The 14,454-nt window shown below is 56.0% G+C and overlaps 2 protein-coding genes and 1 long non-coding RNA gene across 3 annotated transcripts, besides 6 other annotated features; 2 read left to right on the top strand and 1 right to left on the bottom strand.

Annotated features, from left to right (window-relative positions):
• Window positions 41-3,771, top strand: MPV17L2 (MPV17 mitochondrial inner membrane protein like 2). The gene is made up of 5 exons (NM_032683.3): window positions 41-291; window positions 687-857; window positions 1,600-1,676; window positions 1,781-1,909; window positions 2,822-3,771. Exons 1-5 carry the CDS (start codon window positions 105-107, stop codon window positions 2,876-2,878), a joined length of 621 nt encoding a protein of 206 aa, NP_116072.2. The 5' UTR covers window positions 41-104; the 3' UTR covers window positions 2,879-3,771.
• Window positions 136-185: an enhancer, noted in NCBI's record as "active region_14305". NCBI's record gives its function as "activates an Ori minimal core promoter by ATAC-STARR-seq in GM12878 lymphoblastoid cells {active_cell/tissue: GM12878}" and the evidence as "EXISTENCE:reporter gene assay evidence [ECO:0000049][PMID:35858748]".
• On the bottom strand, window positions 3,607-10,865 carry RAB3A (RAB3A, member RAS oncogene family). Its single transcript, NM_002866.5, has 5 exons — window positions 10,719-10,865; window positions 9,336-9,563; window positions 7,150-7,268; window positions 5,548-5,672; window positions 3,607-4,483 (listed from the first exon to the last, which is right to left on the bottom strand). Exons 2-5 carry the CDS (start codon window positions 9,561-9,563, stop codon window positions 4,293-4,295), a joined length of 663 nt encoding a protein of 220 aa, NP_002857.1. The 5' UTR covers window positions 10,719-10,865; the 3' UTR covers window positions 3,607-4,292.
• Window positions 10,107-10,889: an enhancer, noted in NCBI's record as "H3K27ac-H3K4me1 hESC enhancer chr19:18314094-18314876 (GRCh37/hg19 assembly coordinates)". NCBI's record gives its function as "activates a minimal SCP1, AML or CMV promoter by ChIP-STARR-seq in primed H9 embryonic stem cells {active_cell/tissue: H9 hESC(primed)}" and the evidence as "EXISTENCE:reporter gene assay evidence [ECO:0000049][PMID:30033119]".
• Window positions 10,882-11,271: a silencer, noted in NCBI's record as "silent region_10378". NCBI's record gives its function as "represses an Ori minimal core promoter by ATAC-STARR-seq in GM12878 lymphoblastoid cells {active_cell/tissue: GM12878}" and the evidence as "EXISTENCE:reporter gene assay evidence [ECO:0000049][PMID:35858748]".
• Window positions 10,922-11,216: an enhancer, noted in NCBI's record as "tiled region #13953; HepG2 Activating DNase unmatched - State 1:Tss, and K562 Activating DNase unmatched - State 4:PromP". NCBI's record gives its function as "activates a minimal TATA promoter and a strong SV40 promoter by Sharpr-MPRA in HepG2 and K562 cells {active_cell/tissue: HepG2 | K562}" and the evidence as "EXISTENCE:reporter gene assay evidence [ECO:0000049][PMID:27701403]".
• Window positions 11,402-11,501: an enhancer, noted in NCBI's record as "active region_14306". NCBI's record gives its function as "activates an Ori minimal core promoter by ATAC-STARR-seq in GM12878 lymphoblastoid cells {active_cell/tissue: GM12878}" and the evidence as "EXISTENCE:reporter gene assay evidence [ECO:0000049][PMID:35858748]".
• On the top strand, window positions 11,553-12,386 carry LOC102725254 (uncharacterized). The gene is made up of 2 exons (NR_134910.1): window positions 11,553-11,722; window positions 12,279-12,386. It is a non-coding gene; the product is annotated as an uncharacterized LOC102725254 (long non-coding RNA).
• Window positions 12,157-12,216: a silencer, noted in NCBI's record as "silent region_10379". NCBI's record gives its function as "represses an Ori minimal core promoter by ATAC-STARR-seq in GM12878 lymphoblastoid cells {active_cell/tissue: GM12878}" and the evidence as "EXISTENCE:reporter gene assay evidence [ECO:0000049][PMID:35858748]".

The raw sequence follows: 14,454 nt of genomic DNA on the forward strand, positions 1-14,454 counted from the left end.
GCCGGGGAGCCGGAGGGGCGGGCAATTTGGGATCGACAGTGACTCGCGACTGGTCGGCGCGGCGAAAGCAGAGCGGCGCGCCGGTTCCTTGGTTCCTGAGGGCGATGGCGCGGGGTGGCTGGCGCCGGCTACGCCGCCTGTTATCCGCGGGGCAGCTTCTATTCCAGGGCCGCGCGCTGCTCGTCACTAACACGCTGGGCTGCGGCGCGCTCATGGCGGCCGGTGATGGCGTGCGCCAGTCCTGGGAGATCCGCGCCCGGCCCGGCCAGGTTTTCGACCCACGGCGCTCCGGTGAGGACGCCACGCTGCTTAGTCCTTCACCCCGGGCGACCTTTGATCCCGACACCCGACTGCGGGCCGTGACCCCTGACCCGTGGCCTCAGTCCCCCGCAGGACCCTTGCCCTGACCGCGCCTCTCCCCGGGTGTCTGTCTCCCCGCAGCTCTGGGTCTCCATCACCTCCCAACCCCCGGAGGTCTCTGCCCACTACCCAGGAGCCTCTGGAGCCGCGCCTCCTGGTGGGGCTTGTAGTGGAAGAATGCACGGGTGGGCTCTTCCGGTTTTCCCGGTGAGGCTGAGGCTCCGGGATGGCATTGGGCTTACCCAGGCCTTAGCCAGGGAGGGAGAGAGGGAATGGACTGAGGAACTTGCCGGCCCGACCCAGCCCCCTGACTTACACTCTTATAGCGAGCATGTTTGCGGTGGGCTGCAGCATGGGTCCCTTCCTGCACTACTGGTACTTGTCGCTGGACCGCCTATTCCCTGCGTCTGGCCTCCGAGGCTTCCCAAATGTCCTCAAGAAGGTCCTCGTGGATCAGCTGGTAGCCTCTCCATTGCTGGGCGTCTGGTACTTCTTGGGTAAGGAGCCTCCTAAGCCTAGGCTTTGCCTCTCATAGGTCGGGAGGGGTGGAGCCAGCTTTGTGTTAAGAAGGATGCAGAGGTGCATTTCCAATTTGCCCCCTGTTTGGGTCGCCCTGGACTAGGAGCCAGGTCACAGCGGGGACAGGACGGACTCGGCCGATGTGAACGCTGGCGAGTGTAGGAGGGACGAGGACTGTATCTGTTGGGGCTGCCCTGGGCGGGAGGTTGAGAGCATTTCCCAAAGAAGGGGACCACACTCAGTTGAGACATGAAGAGGGAACCAGCGGGCAGAGGGAACAGCTAATGCAAAGGCTCTGAGGCCTGAAGGAAGAGAAATTGAGGCTAGACTTAATGGGGTGCAACCGTGCCAGCCCTAGGCTCGGTAAAGACAGCGGTATTAATAGAGGAGTCTCTCATTCTCCACCTCCCAGCCCGGCTTCCTGGTCTGTGATGGAAAAGTAACACAACTCCCTCAACTTCAGGGTGTCTCCATTGGGGCACGTGTTTATATGTTTATAACCTCTCTTTCTCTCACTGGGACTGACTTGCTCTGTTTTGTCTCTACACCAGCTACCCTAATTCTCTGTCCATCCCATCTGAAAGTCCCTGTCCCTCTGCCCGGGGTGGGCGGCGTGGGCTCTCAGGGGCCCAACCCCGCCCCCTCCATCGTCAGCCCATCTTGTCGTCTCAACAGTACTTCCTGGCCTCTAACACTCTCATTTCTTGGTTTGCTTCCCAGGCCTTGGCTGCCTGGAGGGTCAGACAGTGGGTGAGAGCTGCCAGGAGCTGCGGGAGAAGTTCTGGGAATTCTACAAGGTGGGAGCACCCGCCCCTTGCACATGTCCGGCCCCGCCCCCTGATGGCCGCTCCGCCCCCGCCCAGCTCTGGCCCCGCCCCTCATCCCCCGCCTCTCCCCGCAGGCAGACTGGTGCGTGTGGCCTGCTGCGCAGTTCGTGAACTTCCTCTTCGTGCCCCCCCAATTTCGAGTCACCTACATCAACGGCCTGACGCTGGGCTGGGACACGTACCTGTCCTACTTGAAGTACCGGGTGAGTGTGGAGGGCATACCAGGCACCCAGGGGACTCCCCAGGGGGCTACACGTGTGAGCTCCAAGTGGCAGTGTAGCCAGCCACCCTGGAGGGTGGGAGTCTCCTGTGCTCCTGACAACCCACACCCAACAGTGGGCTGGCGGAGAGCTCCTCACTAGCAGTTAAGACCCAGCCGTGGCTGAGCGCCGTGGCTCATGCCTGTAATCCCAGCACTTTGGGAGGCCGAAGCGGGTGGATCGCCTGAAATTGGAGTTAGAGAGCAGACTGGGCAATATGGTGAAACCCCTTCTCTACTAAAAATACAAAAAATTACTGGTACGCACCTGTAATTCCAGTTACTTGAGAGGCTGAGGCAGGAGAATTGCTTGAACCCAGGAGGCAGAGGCTGCAGTGAGCCAAGATCATGCCACTGCACTCCAGCCTAGGTGACAGAGCGAGACTCCGTTTCAAAAAAAAAAGACCCATGCCGGGCGCGGTGGCTCACGCCTGTAATCCCAGCACTTTGGGAGGCCGAGGCAGGCGGATCACGAGGTCAGGAGATCGAGACCGTCCTGGCTAACATGGTGAAACCCTGTCTCTACTAAAAATACAAAAAAAAAATTAGCCGGGCGTGGTGGCGGGCGCCTGTAGTCTCAGCTACTCCGGAAGCTGAGACCGGAGAATGGCCTGAACCCGGGCAGCGAAGCTTGCAGTGAGCCGAGATCGCGCCACTGCACTCCAGCCTGGGCGACAGTTCGAGACTCCGTCTCAAACAAACAAAAAGACCCAACCCTTCTCTGCTGTCTGATGTGACCTCAGCCCGGTCCCTGCCAAGTCTGTTGAGCAGGGCTGACCTCTGGCCCAAGGGCAGGTAGAGGGACAGGGAGGGATGAGCCAGGCTTCTGACCAGATGCCTTGTCTTGTGTGGACAGAGCCCAGTTCCTCTGACACCCCCAGGCTGTGTGGCCCTGGACACCCGAGCAGACTGAACTGTCTGCTTCCTGGACCAGATGCAAGACTGTCTCCTGGCGGACCACCCCCTCTGACAGAAGGGGAATGGGCTCCTGCAGCAAGCTCGGGTCTTGAGCCACGTCCCAGCACCACTTCAGCTCCGGAGCATTGGGCTGAGCCGCCCTTTCCAAGCTCACTTCTGGGACTGAGTTTCCTCAACCGGAACACACCCATGAAGATGGATGATCATCCCCTAGCCCTTCTCAGCAGGAACCTCATGCGACCTGTGACCAAGATGTCCCATCCTCAGCACAGGGCCCACTCTGCCAACCAGTCTCAAGCACCAGCCCCTCAACACTGCCATCCACCTGGCTCTGGGCCAAGCCACCAATCCAGAGCTCCCTCAGGTCCTGGGACTAAGGCGGGGACATGACTGATCCCCTCAGAGCAGGCTCAGGCCTGGAGTCGGCCCCCAAAAGTTTCACATAGGGCCAGGCAGCCTCTGTGTTTCTTTCCCTGGTCCTGAACTGTGGAAATGCCATTAAACTCTCTCTATAATGTAACTGAAACTGCTGGCTGGGCGCAGTGGCTCCCACCTGTAATCTCAGCCCTTCCCGAGGCTGAGGTGGAAGGATTGCTCGAGGCCAGGTGTTCGAGACCAGCCTGGGCAACATAGCAAGACCCTGTCTCTATTTATATTGAAAAATAAAAATAACAAAAGAAAATGCTGTGGATGATCAAAACCAGGGTGGGCAGGACCCGGTGCTCACAGGGACACACATGGATGGTCCATTCGCTTTATTGGGTGCGTGTAGTGTTGTCATGACATCTCCTAAGGAACTGGGGGGCACGTTTGACACTCATGAGGTCAGAACAGGTCTGGTGGGCGGGGGGGGGGGGGGTCCCAGGGTGGTGAATACCCACAGCACACCCCCCCACCAAAAGAGAAAACGGGGAGAGGAGCCTGGCAGGCCAGACTCTGATCCCCATGGTCCACACAGGGAAACCCCCAACAGCGGCCTCGGCCCACCGCGGCAGAGCCGAGGGGCTGGCAGGCCTGGCCACCTCCCATTGCCCGATCAGCCTGCTTTAGGGTGTCATCTGGCCCCTCTTCACAACTGACAACTGTGGATGGGGGTGAATTTTAAAAAAAGGCGGGGGGGGGGGGTTCAGGAGGGTGAGCGGTGAGTTCACGGGGCCACGAGACACCACAGCTGAGTGGGGAAAGGGCTATATGTACAGGAGGGGCAGGGCTTGGGGCGGGCAGGGGAGCCTGGGCCCCTGGGGGACATCTTCAATAAATAAATAAATAGCTACAATAATAAATAAGGGTGACGGGCTAAGTCAGGAGCAGGGGTCTTGTGCCCGTGGCTGGTAGGGGCCGGGTCAGGCCCGGGTAGTTGGGGGAAGGTGGGGAAGACAGGGAAGAGGGGAAAGGGAGTGGGATGGCTCTCAGCAGGCGCAGTCCTGGTGCGGTGGCACCTGCTGGTCACTGAGCTGTGGGCCCTGCTTGGCGCCTGTGACCGCAGGGTCCGCCGTGTCCAACGACTCGGACATCTTCTCGCAGATGACATCCACCAGGCGCTCAAAGGTCTGCTTGACGTTAATGTTGTCCTTGGCGCTTGCCTCAAAGAACTCGAACCCTGTGGTCAGAGAAGGCAGGGATGAGGACCCTGGCCACGCCCTATGCCAACTCCCAGAGATGCTTCTCTGAGGAAAGGGAACACCTGGAGATTCCCAGTGCCAAGCAACTTATTGAAGGTACTGACAAATCCCACAGAGAAGAAACTTATTGAAGGTACTGACAAATCCCACAGAGAAGCAACATGGAACTGGGTCAGCTTTGCATTTCCTGCTTTTTTTTTTTTTTTTTTTTTTTGAGACAGGGCCTTGCTCTGCTGCCCAGGATGGAGTATGGTGGCGTGATCATAGCTCACTGCAGTCTCGACCTCCTGGGCTCAAGTGATCCTCCACCCCCACCTCTCAAATTGCTGGGATTATAGGTGTGAGCCAGCGCACCTGGCCTCCTGCCCTTCCTTCCTAAAATTGTGTCTCGTTGTCCTTAGGGACCTGGCAAGACATGCCCTGCAGCGTCCAGCCCAGCCCCGTGCACTGGCCCTGGAAGGCTCTGACACTCAAATCCAGCTGTGACCTCCCCCTGCTCACACACCCTCTGTGACTCCCTATTGCCCTCCAAAGAGTCCCAGCCTCTCAGCACATGGTTGAGGCCCTCTGTGATCGGCCACATTTCCTCCAGCTGACCCTCATGTTCCAGTCTTGTGAAATTATTACCAAAACACACAGGACCTTTCTCACTGCAAGCCTTTGCCCAAGCTATTTCCTCTGCCTGAAAGACCCTTCTTCACTACCCACCACTCCAGGAAGCCTGGCTCCTCTCATGTGCTCCTCCCATCCAGGTCCCTCCCTCTACCTCAGGGGTCCCTCGAGGCACCCCTAGATGCCTCTTGAGCCCAGCAACACCCAACAAAGCGTTGGACGGTGAGTGTCAGAATAAATCCTTAAACTTTCTGCATGGCAAACTCCTACACATCCCTCAGGATCCAACTCAAATGGCTCCTGGATGAAGGCTAGTTTGCAGAAAGTGTGAATTACCTGGCTTTAGCTGTAAGACCTTGGGTGTGTGCCCTCCCCTCTCTTAGTGTCCTTTTTCTAGACTTGTGGGTCTCCAGCCCAGCTGGGCACTCACCAAGGTGGTCAGCTAGCTGCCGGCCACGTTCTGATGACACCACCCGCTCATCCTCCATGTCACACTTGTTTCCTACCAGCAGCACCTGGGCATTGTCCCATGAGTAGGTCTTGATCTGGGTGGACCTATAGGAGGCACCAATGGGGGCAGGTCAGGGCTTGGAGGATCCCAGCTCCACCCTGACGGGCTGATGTGGAGCCTGTGTCCTTGTCCGAGGAAGAAAGACCCAGAAGCTTGCCCCTCCATCCTCCCCACCATCCTTTCCCCCAATGTGCCCCGCTTTCACCCCACTCCAGCCCCCGACTGACCCATTATTGTTTCTGTGTTTTGGGGTTTTTTTTGAGATAGAGTCTGGGTCTGTTGCCCAGGCTGGAGTATCTGCCTGCCTTCGCTTCTCAAAGTACTGGAATTACAGGCATGAGCCACCCAGCCCAGAAATTTTCTTTTTTTGAGATAGAGTCTTGCTCTGTCGCCCAGGCTGGAGTGCAGTGGCGCGATCTAGGCTCACTGCAATCTCCGCCTCCCAGGTTGAAGTGATTCTCCTGCCTCAGCCTCCTAAGTAGCTGGGACTATAGGCATGAGCCACCATGCCTGGTAATTTTTTGTGCTTTTAGTAGAGACAGGGTTTCACTATGTTGGCCACGATGGACTCGAACTCCTGAGCTCAAGATCTACCCACCTCGGCCTCCCAAGGTGCTGGGATTATAGGCATGAGCCACTGTGCCCAACCCAGAAATTTTTTTTTAAAGTTATTACTTCTGAGCAGAAAATTGAAATGTTTACAATCTCTAACCTATGCCAACTCTCCTTTTTTTTTTGAGACAGAGTTTTGCTCTTGTTGCCCAGGCTGGAGTGCAATGGCAATCTTGGCTCACTGCAACCTCCACCTCCCGGGTTCGAGCGATTCTCCTGCCTCAGGCTCCCAAGTAGCTGGGATTACAGGTGTGCGCCACCACGTCTGGCTAATTTTTGCATTCTTAGTAGAGATGGGGTTTCTCCATCTTGGTCAGGCTGGTCTCGAACTCCCGACCTCAGGTGATCCACCTGCCTCAGCCTCCCAAAGTGCTGGGATTATAGGTGTGAGCCACCGTGCCCGGCCATGCCAACTCTCCTTATAGTCTCTATATTCTCCACCCTACACTTGCAGATATTTGTTTCTATATGGTTATAGTTTTACTTTTCCATCTGAAATCCTTCTCTGACCCCTACGTTTTATTTATTATTTTTTGAAGAAAGTTTGGCTCAGAGACAATGGCCCCAGAATGAGTGTGGAAGGCCAGAAGCGATGGCTCACGCCTGTAATCCCAGCACTTTGGGAGGCCAAGGTGGGCAGATCACTTGAGCCAAGGAGTTCAAGACCAGCCTGGGCAACATGAGGAAACCCCATCTCAACTAAAAATACAAAAAAATTAGCCAGGTGTGGTGGTATATGCCTGTAGTCCCAGCTACTTGGGAGGCTGAGGCAGGAGGATCACTTGAGCCCAGGAGGTCGAGGCTGCAGTGAGCCCTGATCGTGCCACTGCACTCCAGCCTGGGTGACAGAATAAAACCCTCTCTCAAAGAAAAGAAAAGAAAAAAAAAGAGCAAGTGGGGTACACTCACCAGTCCTGCACTGCATTGAAGGATTCCTCGTTGGTGATGTCATACATGAGGATGAAGCCCATAGCGCCCCGGTAGTATGCGGTGGTGATGGTCCGGTACCGCTCTTGCCCTGCTGTGTCCTAGGGAGGAAGAGATGAAGGTCAGAGAGGACCTGCACATAAGGCCCTCGAAGAGGAAATGAGCTCTGATATCATCCAGTTCAGCCCCCTGGGAGAAGCAGGAGCTTGCCCAGGGGCACAAAGTGTCAGGAAGAGCAGGTTGGGTCACCAGTGCTCAGAATATATGAGTGCTCCATTATTCCACAGAGTCATTCACCAAACGTACTGTGCCAGGTGCTGTGGCTCACACCTGTAATCCCAGCACTATGGGAGGCTGAGGTGGGCAGGTGGCTTGAACCCAGGAGTTCCAGACCAGCCTGAGCAACATAGCAAGACCCCATCTCTACAAAAAGTACAAAAATTAACAGGGTGTGGTGGCTCACACCTGTAGTCCCAACTACTCAGGAGGCTCAGGTGAGAGGGTTGCTTGAGCCCAGGAGGCAGAGGTTGCAGTGAGGTGAGATCGCGCCACTGCAGTTCAGCCTGGGTGACAGAGTGAAACCCTGTCTCAAAAAACAAACAGGGGGTCGGGTGTGGTGGTGGCTCACGCCTGTAATCCCAGCACTTTGGGAGGCCAAGGCAGGTGGATCACCTGAGGTCAGGAGTTCGAGACCAGCCTGGCCAACATGGTGAAACTCTGTCTCTACTAAAAATACAAAAATTAGCTCGGCGTGGTGGCATGCACCTGTAATCCCAGCTACTCAGGAGGCTGAGGCAGGAGAATCGCTTGAACTCAGGAGACAGAGGTTGCAGTGAGCCGAGATCGCGCCATTGCACTCCACCCTGGGTGACAAGAGCGAGACTCCGTCTCAAAACAATAACAACAAAAAAAAAAAAAAAAAGAAAGAAAGAAAGAAAGAAAGAAAGAAAACAGAGGCCAGGCGTGGTGGCTCATGCTTGTAATCCCAGCACCTTGGGAGGCCAAGACAGGTGGATCACTTGTGGTCAGGAGTTCAAGACTAGCCTGGCCAACATGGCGAAACCCTATCTCTACTAAAAATACAAAAAAAAATTAGCTGGGCTTGGTGGTGAGCCCCTGTAATCCCAGCTACTCAGGAGGCTGAGGCAGGAGAATCGCTTGAACCCGGGAGGCAGAGGTTTCAGTGAGCCAAGATTGCACTACTGCACTCCAGCCTGGGTGACAGAGCAAAAACTCTGTCTCAAAAAACAAACAAACAAATAAACAAACATGGACTGGGCACTGATCTTTTCCACACCCTGAACTGGACACTGGGGACACAGTTGTTAACAAGATGGGCACTTCCCTTGCTAAGTGACACTCAGTGTGGGAAATAGAAAATAACGGTATAAATGTATCCTATATTGGAGAGTGACAAGGACCAAGGAGAAAAATCAAGCCAGATGAAGATGGAGAGAATTTAACTGTAGGTTTAAAAATTAAAGGAAGCTGACACTTGCCTGTACTCCCAGCTACTTGGGAAGCTGAGGCGGGAGGATTGCTTGAGCCCACGAGTTCAAATCCAGCCTGGGCAACAGAGTGAGACTCTGTCTCTTAAAACTAACAAGGCCAGGTGGGGTGGCTCATGCCTGTAATCTTAGCACTTTGAGAGGCTGAGGTGGGAGGATCGCTTGAGCCCAGGAGTTCAAGACCAGCCTGGGCAGACATAGCCCGACCCTGTCTCTACAAAAAAGAAAAAAATCAGCAGGCGTGGTGGTAGAAGCCCGTGGTCCTAGCTACTCAGGAGGCTCAGGTGGAAGAATGGTTTGAGCCTGGGAAGTCGAGGCTGCAGAGAGCCGTGATCACGTAACTGCATTCCAGCCTAGGGGACAGAGCAAGACCACCCTGTCTCAAAAAACAAACAAAAAAAGAGAATGGGGACCAAGATCCAGCTGAAACCTCATACATGGAAGAACTTGAAGATGGGGAAACTGAGGGACCAGGATTAGGTGCTTATGGGAGAACACAGGTGCTGTTTCTGCCCCGGTACACAGTGGGCACCTTACTGATAAATGCCCAGTGTGTAAGTGAATGACTCCAGTCAGGAAAGAGATAGACGAGGTTGGGGCTGCTTTTCCAAGTACGGGAATCCAACCGAGCCGGGCGGGAGCCCTCCAGCTGGGACCCACCCAGATCTGCAGCTTGATCCTCTTGTCGTTGCGATAGATGGTCTTGACCTTGAAGTCGATGCCCACGGTGCTGACGAAGGCAGGCGTGAACGAGTCGTCAGCATAGCGGAAGAGGAAGGACGTCTTGCCCACGCTGCTGTTGCCGATGATGAGAATCTTGAACATGTAGTCGAAGTTCTGATCCGAGGACTCCTTCTGCCCATAGCGCGAGTCTGTGGCGGATGCCATCTGGGGATACCGGGTGTAGCAGAGCCGTGAGGGGGGCTCTCTCCATCCTCATGTGCCCAAGCCCAGGCAGAAGATGGCAAGGGCTCCAGAAAACGGCCGGTGTATGGAGGACACCCTTATCCCATCAGGAGCCCCAGTATTAATTGGTGGTGCCCCCAGCAGAGGGCAGCCTGTGACCTTGAAATCCTGGGCGTTTCAGAGGAGGGGCTCAGAGGGTTGCCGATGGGGACACCCCAGCAGCCCCCTTCAAGGGGCAGGTGCCCCAGGTGGGGCTGTAACCCTAAACCCAGGGCTGAGCCCGGAGGGGGTGACTGCGGCTGGCTCCGCCCCCCATCAATCTTTCATGGTCCTCAGAACCCGGCCGCGCGGCCCCACGTGCACCGCGTGCATGGTCCCTCGAGGACGCGCATCTGCAGCCCCCGCTCCCCGCAAACCTCCAGGCCGGAGAGCTCCGGCCAAGGCCGCTGCATCACATGATACAGGAGGGGCATGCACACGCTCACGTGCACACAGCCTCAAACACGCTCATCCGTACATACAGGAGTGTGTGAACGCACTGAGGTGCACAGGACAAAGACACAGACACCTGTTTGCACACCGACTCGCCTATAGAAATGTGCAAACCACCCGTGCGCACAGGCCCCTCCACCCATGCAGGCGTGTGCACATCACCCACACGGACACGGATCCCCGTGCTTGTATGCACGGGCCATACCTGCACAGGCGGTCCACACGTCTTTCTCCACGCGCGTGCAACGCTCACACACTTAGGCCCAGACCCCCACGGCGTCACACGAGCATATCCAGGTACACAAGCAAGGGTGCACACAGACCCGCTGACACAGGCAGGCGCGCACACGCGTGTGCACACCACGCGCACGCGCACGCAAAAGCCTCCCGCGCGCACAGCTTCCCGCAAGGAGCTCGGCTCCCCTCCCCCTCCGCCGCAGAGCAGGGGGGTTGGGGGGGTTAGTGGTGAGGATCAGGCAGGAGTGGGGCGCCCGGGCCCTACCCATTCCCAGCCTCGCGACCGCCGCATCCTTCCCCCCATTCAACCCTAGTCAACCTCGTCCCCCACCTCCATCAGCCCATCAGTCAAATGAAGGTTATGCAGGTGCTCGGAGCCTGAGCACACCCGGCCGCCCAGGAGCTCACCTTGCCCTGCACCGATGCAACGGCGACCCTAGCGGCGGTGACTTTTTTGGCGGTGGCGGTGACAGGACCCCGGTGCGTTGATGTGGGGCTGCGCGGCGGCGGCGGCAGCAGCGGCTCAGGCCCCTGCAGTCCTCCGTGACGTCCTGCAAAGGGAGGGGCGGAGCCTCACATGTAGATAAGTCCGTGACGCCATCCGGAGGCGGAGCCGCGCGTAGAGATGTGGCCCATTGACGCACGCAGAGCCAGATGGGGCAGGGCTCCTGAGCAGATTGACGTGCAAATGGGGCGGGGCCTAGCGTGTGCATCCAGTAGGGGCGGGAGCGGCGCGGGGGCCGACTCCGCCTCTCGTCCGCCTCCTGTCCGCCTCGGGGAGGCGGGGCCCCTCAGCGTTCTCTCACTGGCTTAAGCTCTCGAGCGACGGGCGAAGTAGCCAATCAGAGATTGTCTACGCCCTCCTCTTGTCCAATGGTGGCATCTGGGAGATTGAAGGGCCGAGAGGCTGAGGCCTTGGCTGAGCCCCGGTCTTCGAGGGGCGGTTCCCTTACCCGCCCGCACCCACCCCAGGTAGGGGACTCTTGAGGCCACCGTCTAGTCCAAGGTGCTGTGACCCCTGTTAAATGCCCCTGACTCCCAATTGCAGAAAAGAAAAATCGAGGCCCAAGAGATGTTTTATACCCTCACATATATGGGGTTCAAAATAAATACCAAAGAATAAACAGGAGTCAAGAGGGACCCCTGTCCCATTCCCGAGGCGTAAGACCCCCCCACTGAGGGAGGGGCTAGTAAAGACTCCACCCCTCCCCCGTTTCTGAGGTTTGAAAAGAAAGAAGTAGAGGTCAAGAGAGCCTCCCCTCCCCACCATTCCCAGAAAAGGAGGAAGGGGCTGATGGACTCTCTGGGAACCCCCTCCCCTCCCTGCGCCCCGTCATCAAGAAGAAAATTCGAAGAAAAGGTTTAGCAGGGACAGAGAAGCGACCTGTCCCGGAAACCCCTTAAAGCCTGCGGTAAATGCCCCGGGAAACAGGGAGGGCACGAGCCGAAGCCTCCAGCTCTTCAAAGCTCGGATTCAAAGACCCGGGGGCTGGGAGACCCCCTCCCTCCATCCTGGGAAAGCAAAACTCAGAGGATGGAGCCTTTTGGGAGCTAAGATGGTCCATCTTTTATTCCTCCAAATCTTTAGGGAAGGAAGTCAGAATTTGGGGAGGGAGGAGGAGCCCGAAACCCCAGCCCCCACTTTGGGTCTCCTGCTCCCCCTACTCCAGCTTTCAAACCCTCCAGGGGTGTGTGGCCCCCAGGAGAGTCCTGATCCCCTAGATTCTCCCCCCACCCCTCCCAGTAGGCGGGGCTGGAGCGTGTGTGTGTGGCGGGGGGTGACTCGTCCTGTTTATAAAAAGCTCGCCAGCTGCGGAGGCGCCGAGAGACCAGAATAACTTAGCGCCTCGAGGCCCAGCCGCCGCCAACCCAGTCCCCAGCCCGCCCCCAGTGCCCTGGGAGTACTGGGACGCCCACCCCCACGTCCCCGCACCGTTTACATTTGGGAAATTTATTTTTTCTTTTTAGGGTAACATGTTTGCTCCCTCCTCCCCCACTCGGACTATAGAAGTATCACCAATCCACTGCAGAGAAATTGGGAAAATTCAGAAAAACAAAAAATAAAAAGAAATCCACCTCCCATTCTCCCTGCCCTCCGCGCCCACGCGGTAGTCCGTGCTCTGTGGGGGGCTCCAGGGCAGCTGGTCCAGGCCCTGGCCTGCCGCCTCCTTGGAGGGGAGGTTTTTCGGTTGCTCAGCTCCCTGATCGCCCAAAGGCACGCTTCCTACATGGGTGGCTCTCTCGGAAATACCTCCTGCCTTTTTTCCCCAGGAAGAGAAAAGTGAGCCACGAGAATGTGCGGAAGCTTCCGTCACTGACTTAGTATTTTAAAGTAAAAATAGCCGGGTGCGGAGGCTTACGCCTGTAATCCCACCACTTTGGGAGACCAAGGCGGGAGGATCGCTTGAGCCCAGGAATTGGAAACCAGCCTGAGTAACATAGGGAGGCCCCATCTCTACAAAAAATTTAAAAATTAGCTGGATGTGGTGTCGCGTGCTTGTGGACCCAAATACTCCCGAGGCTGAAGTAGGAGGATCACTTGAGCTCAGGAGGTCGAGGCTGTAGGAAACCGTATCGCGCCACTACACTCCAGCCTGGACGACAGAGTGAGACGCTGTCTCAAAAAATTAATTACTTAATTTAAATTTAAAAAGAATGCAAGCCCTTGATTGTCCAGAGCAGCATTGGGCTCTGGAATTAGAAATGGTTGAGCTGGGGGAGGGGCTGCGGGATTGGGGTATTTTCTTTGTGTCAGGGGAGACAGAGCTGGTGGGAGAACGGGCTAGGCTTCCAGGCCGGTCCCACTCAGAGGAAAGTCCAGAGGCTTCCCTGCATCCCTACCCTATCGTCTACACTAGACAAATAAAAATAAAAATGTGGCCAGGTGCGGTGGTTTATGCCTGTAATACCAGCACTTTGGGAGGCCGAGTCAGGAGGATCACTCCTTGACCTTGAGGTCAGGAGTTCGAGACCAGCCTGGCCAACATGGTGAAACCCCATCTCTGCTAAAAATACAAAAATTAGCCCGGTGTGGTGGTGCCTGTCCCAGGAGGCTGCTCAGGAGGCCCAGGCATGAGAATCGCATGAACCAGGGAGGCGGAGGTTGCAGTGAGCTGAGATCACCGGCACCACTGCACGCCAGCCTAGGTGCTAGAGGGAGACTCTGTCTCAAGAAAAAAAAAAAAAAGTATCCCAGATACGGGTCCAGGGACGACTTCTCGGGGAAGAAGACACTAACTTAAAACCCAGTGTGGGGGCCAGGTGTGGTGGCTCATGCCTGTAATCCCAGCACTTTGGGAGGCCGAGGTGGGTGGATCACCTGAGGTCAGAAGTTCAAGACCAGCGTGGTCAACATGGTGAAACCCCATTTCTACTAAATATTAGCCGGGCATGGTGGCGGTCGCCTGTAATCCCTGCTACTTGGGAGGCTGAGGCAGGAGAATCGCTTGAACCCGGGAGGCAGAGGTTGCAGTGAGCCAAGATCACGCCATTGTCCTCCAGCCTGGGCAACAAGAGCGAAACTTTGTCTAAAACAAAAATAAAAACAAAAATCTAATGGGTGAGGCTGGGGGCTGAGAGAGAAGCATTCCAGGTAGTGGGAACAGCTTGTTTGAAGGCCCTGTGGTGGGACCAGGCTTGCAGTGTGGCCAGAGCAGATGCAGTCAGTAAGAGGAGAGGGACAAATGCCTTTGGCTCAAACTGAAGGAGAACATATGAATATTCATTTATAAGAAATATGAATATTCTAGGGCTGGGTGCAGTGGCTCATGCCTGTAATCCCAGCACTTTGGGAGGCCGAGGCAGGCGGATCATGAGGTCAGGAGTTCAAGACCAGCCTGGCCAACATGGTGAAAACCCAGTCTCTACTAAAAATACAAAAATTAGCTGGGCATGGTGGTGGGCACCTGTAATCCCAGCTACTCAGGAGACTGAGGCAGGAGAATCGTTTGAACCCAGGAGGCGGAGGTTGCAGTTAGCCAAGATCACACCATTGCACTCCCGCCTGGGCGACAAGGCGAGACGCAAAGAAAGAAAGAAAGAGAAAGGGAAAAGGAAAGAAAAGAAAGACAGAGAAAGAAAGAAAAGAAAAGAAAGAAAAAAATATGAATTTTTTTTTTTTTTTTGAGACAGTCTCGCTCTGTCA

Source organism: Homo sapiens, chromosome 19 (genome assembly GCF_000001405.40).
Source record: "Homo sapiens chromosome 19, GRCh38.p14 Primary Assembly".
NCBI lineage: Eukaryota > Metazoa > Chordata > Mammalia > Primates > Hominidae > Homo > Homo sapiens.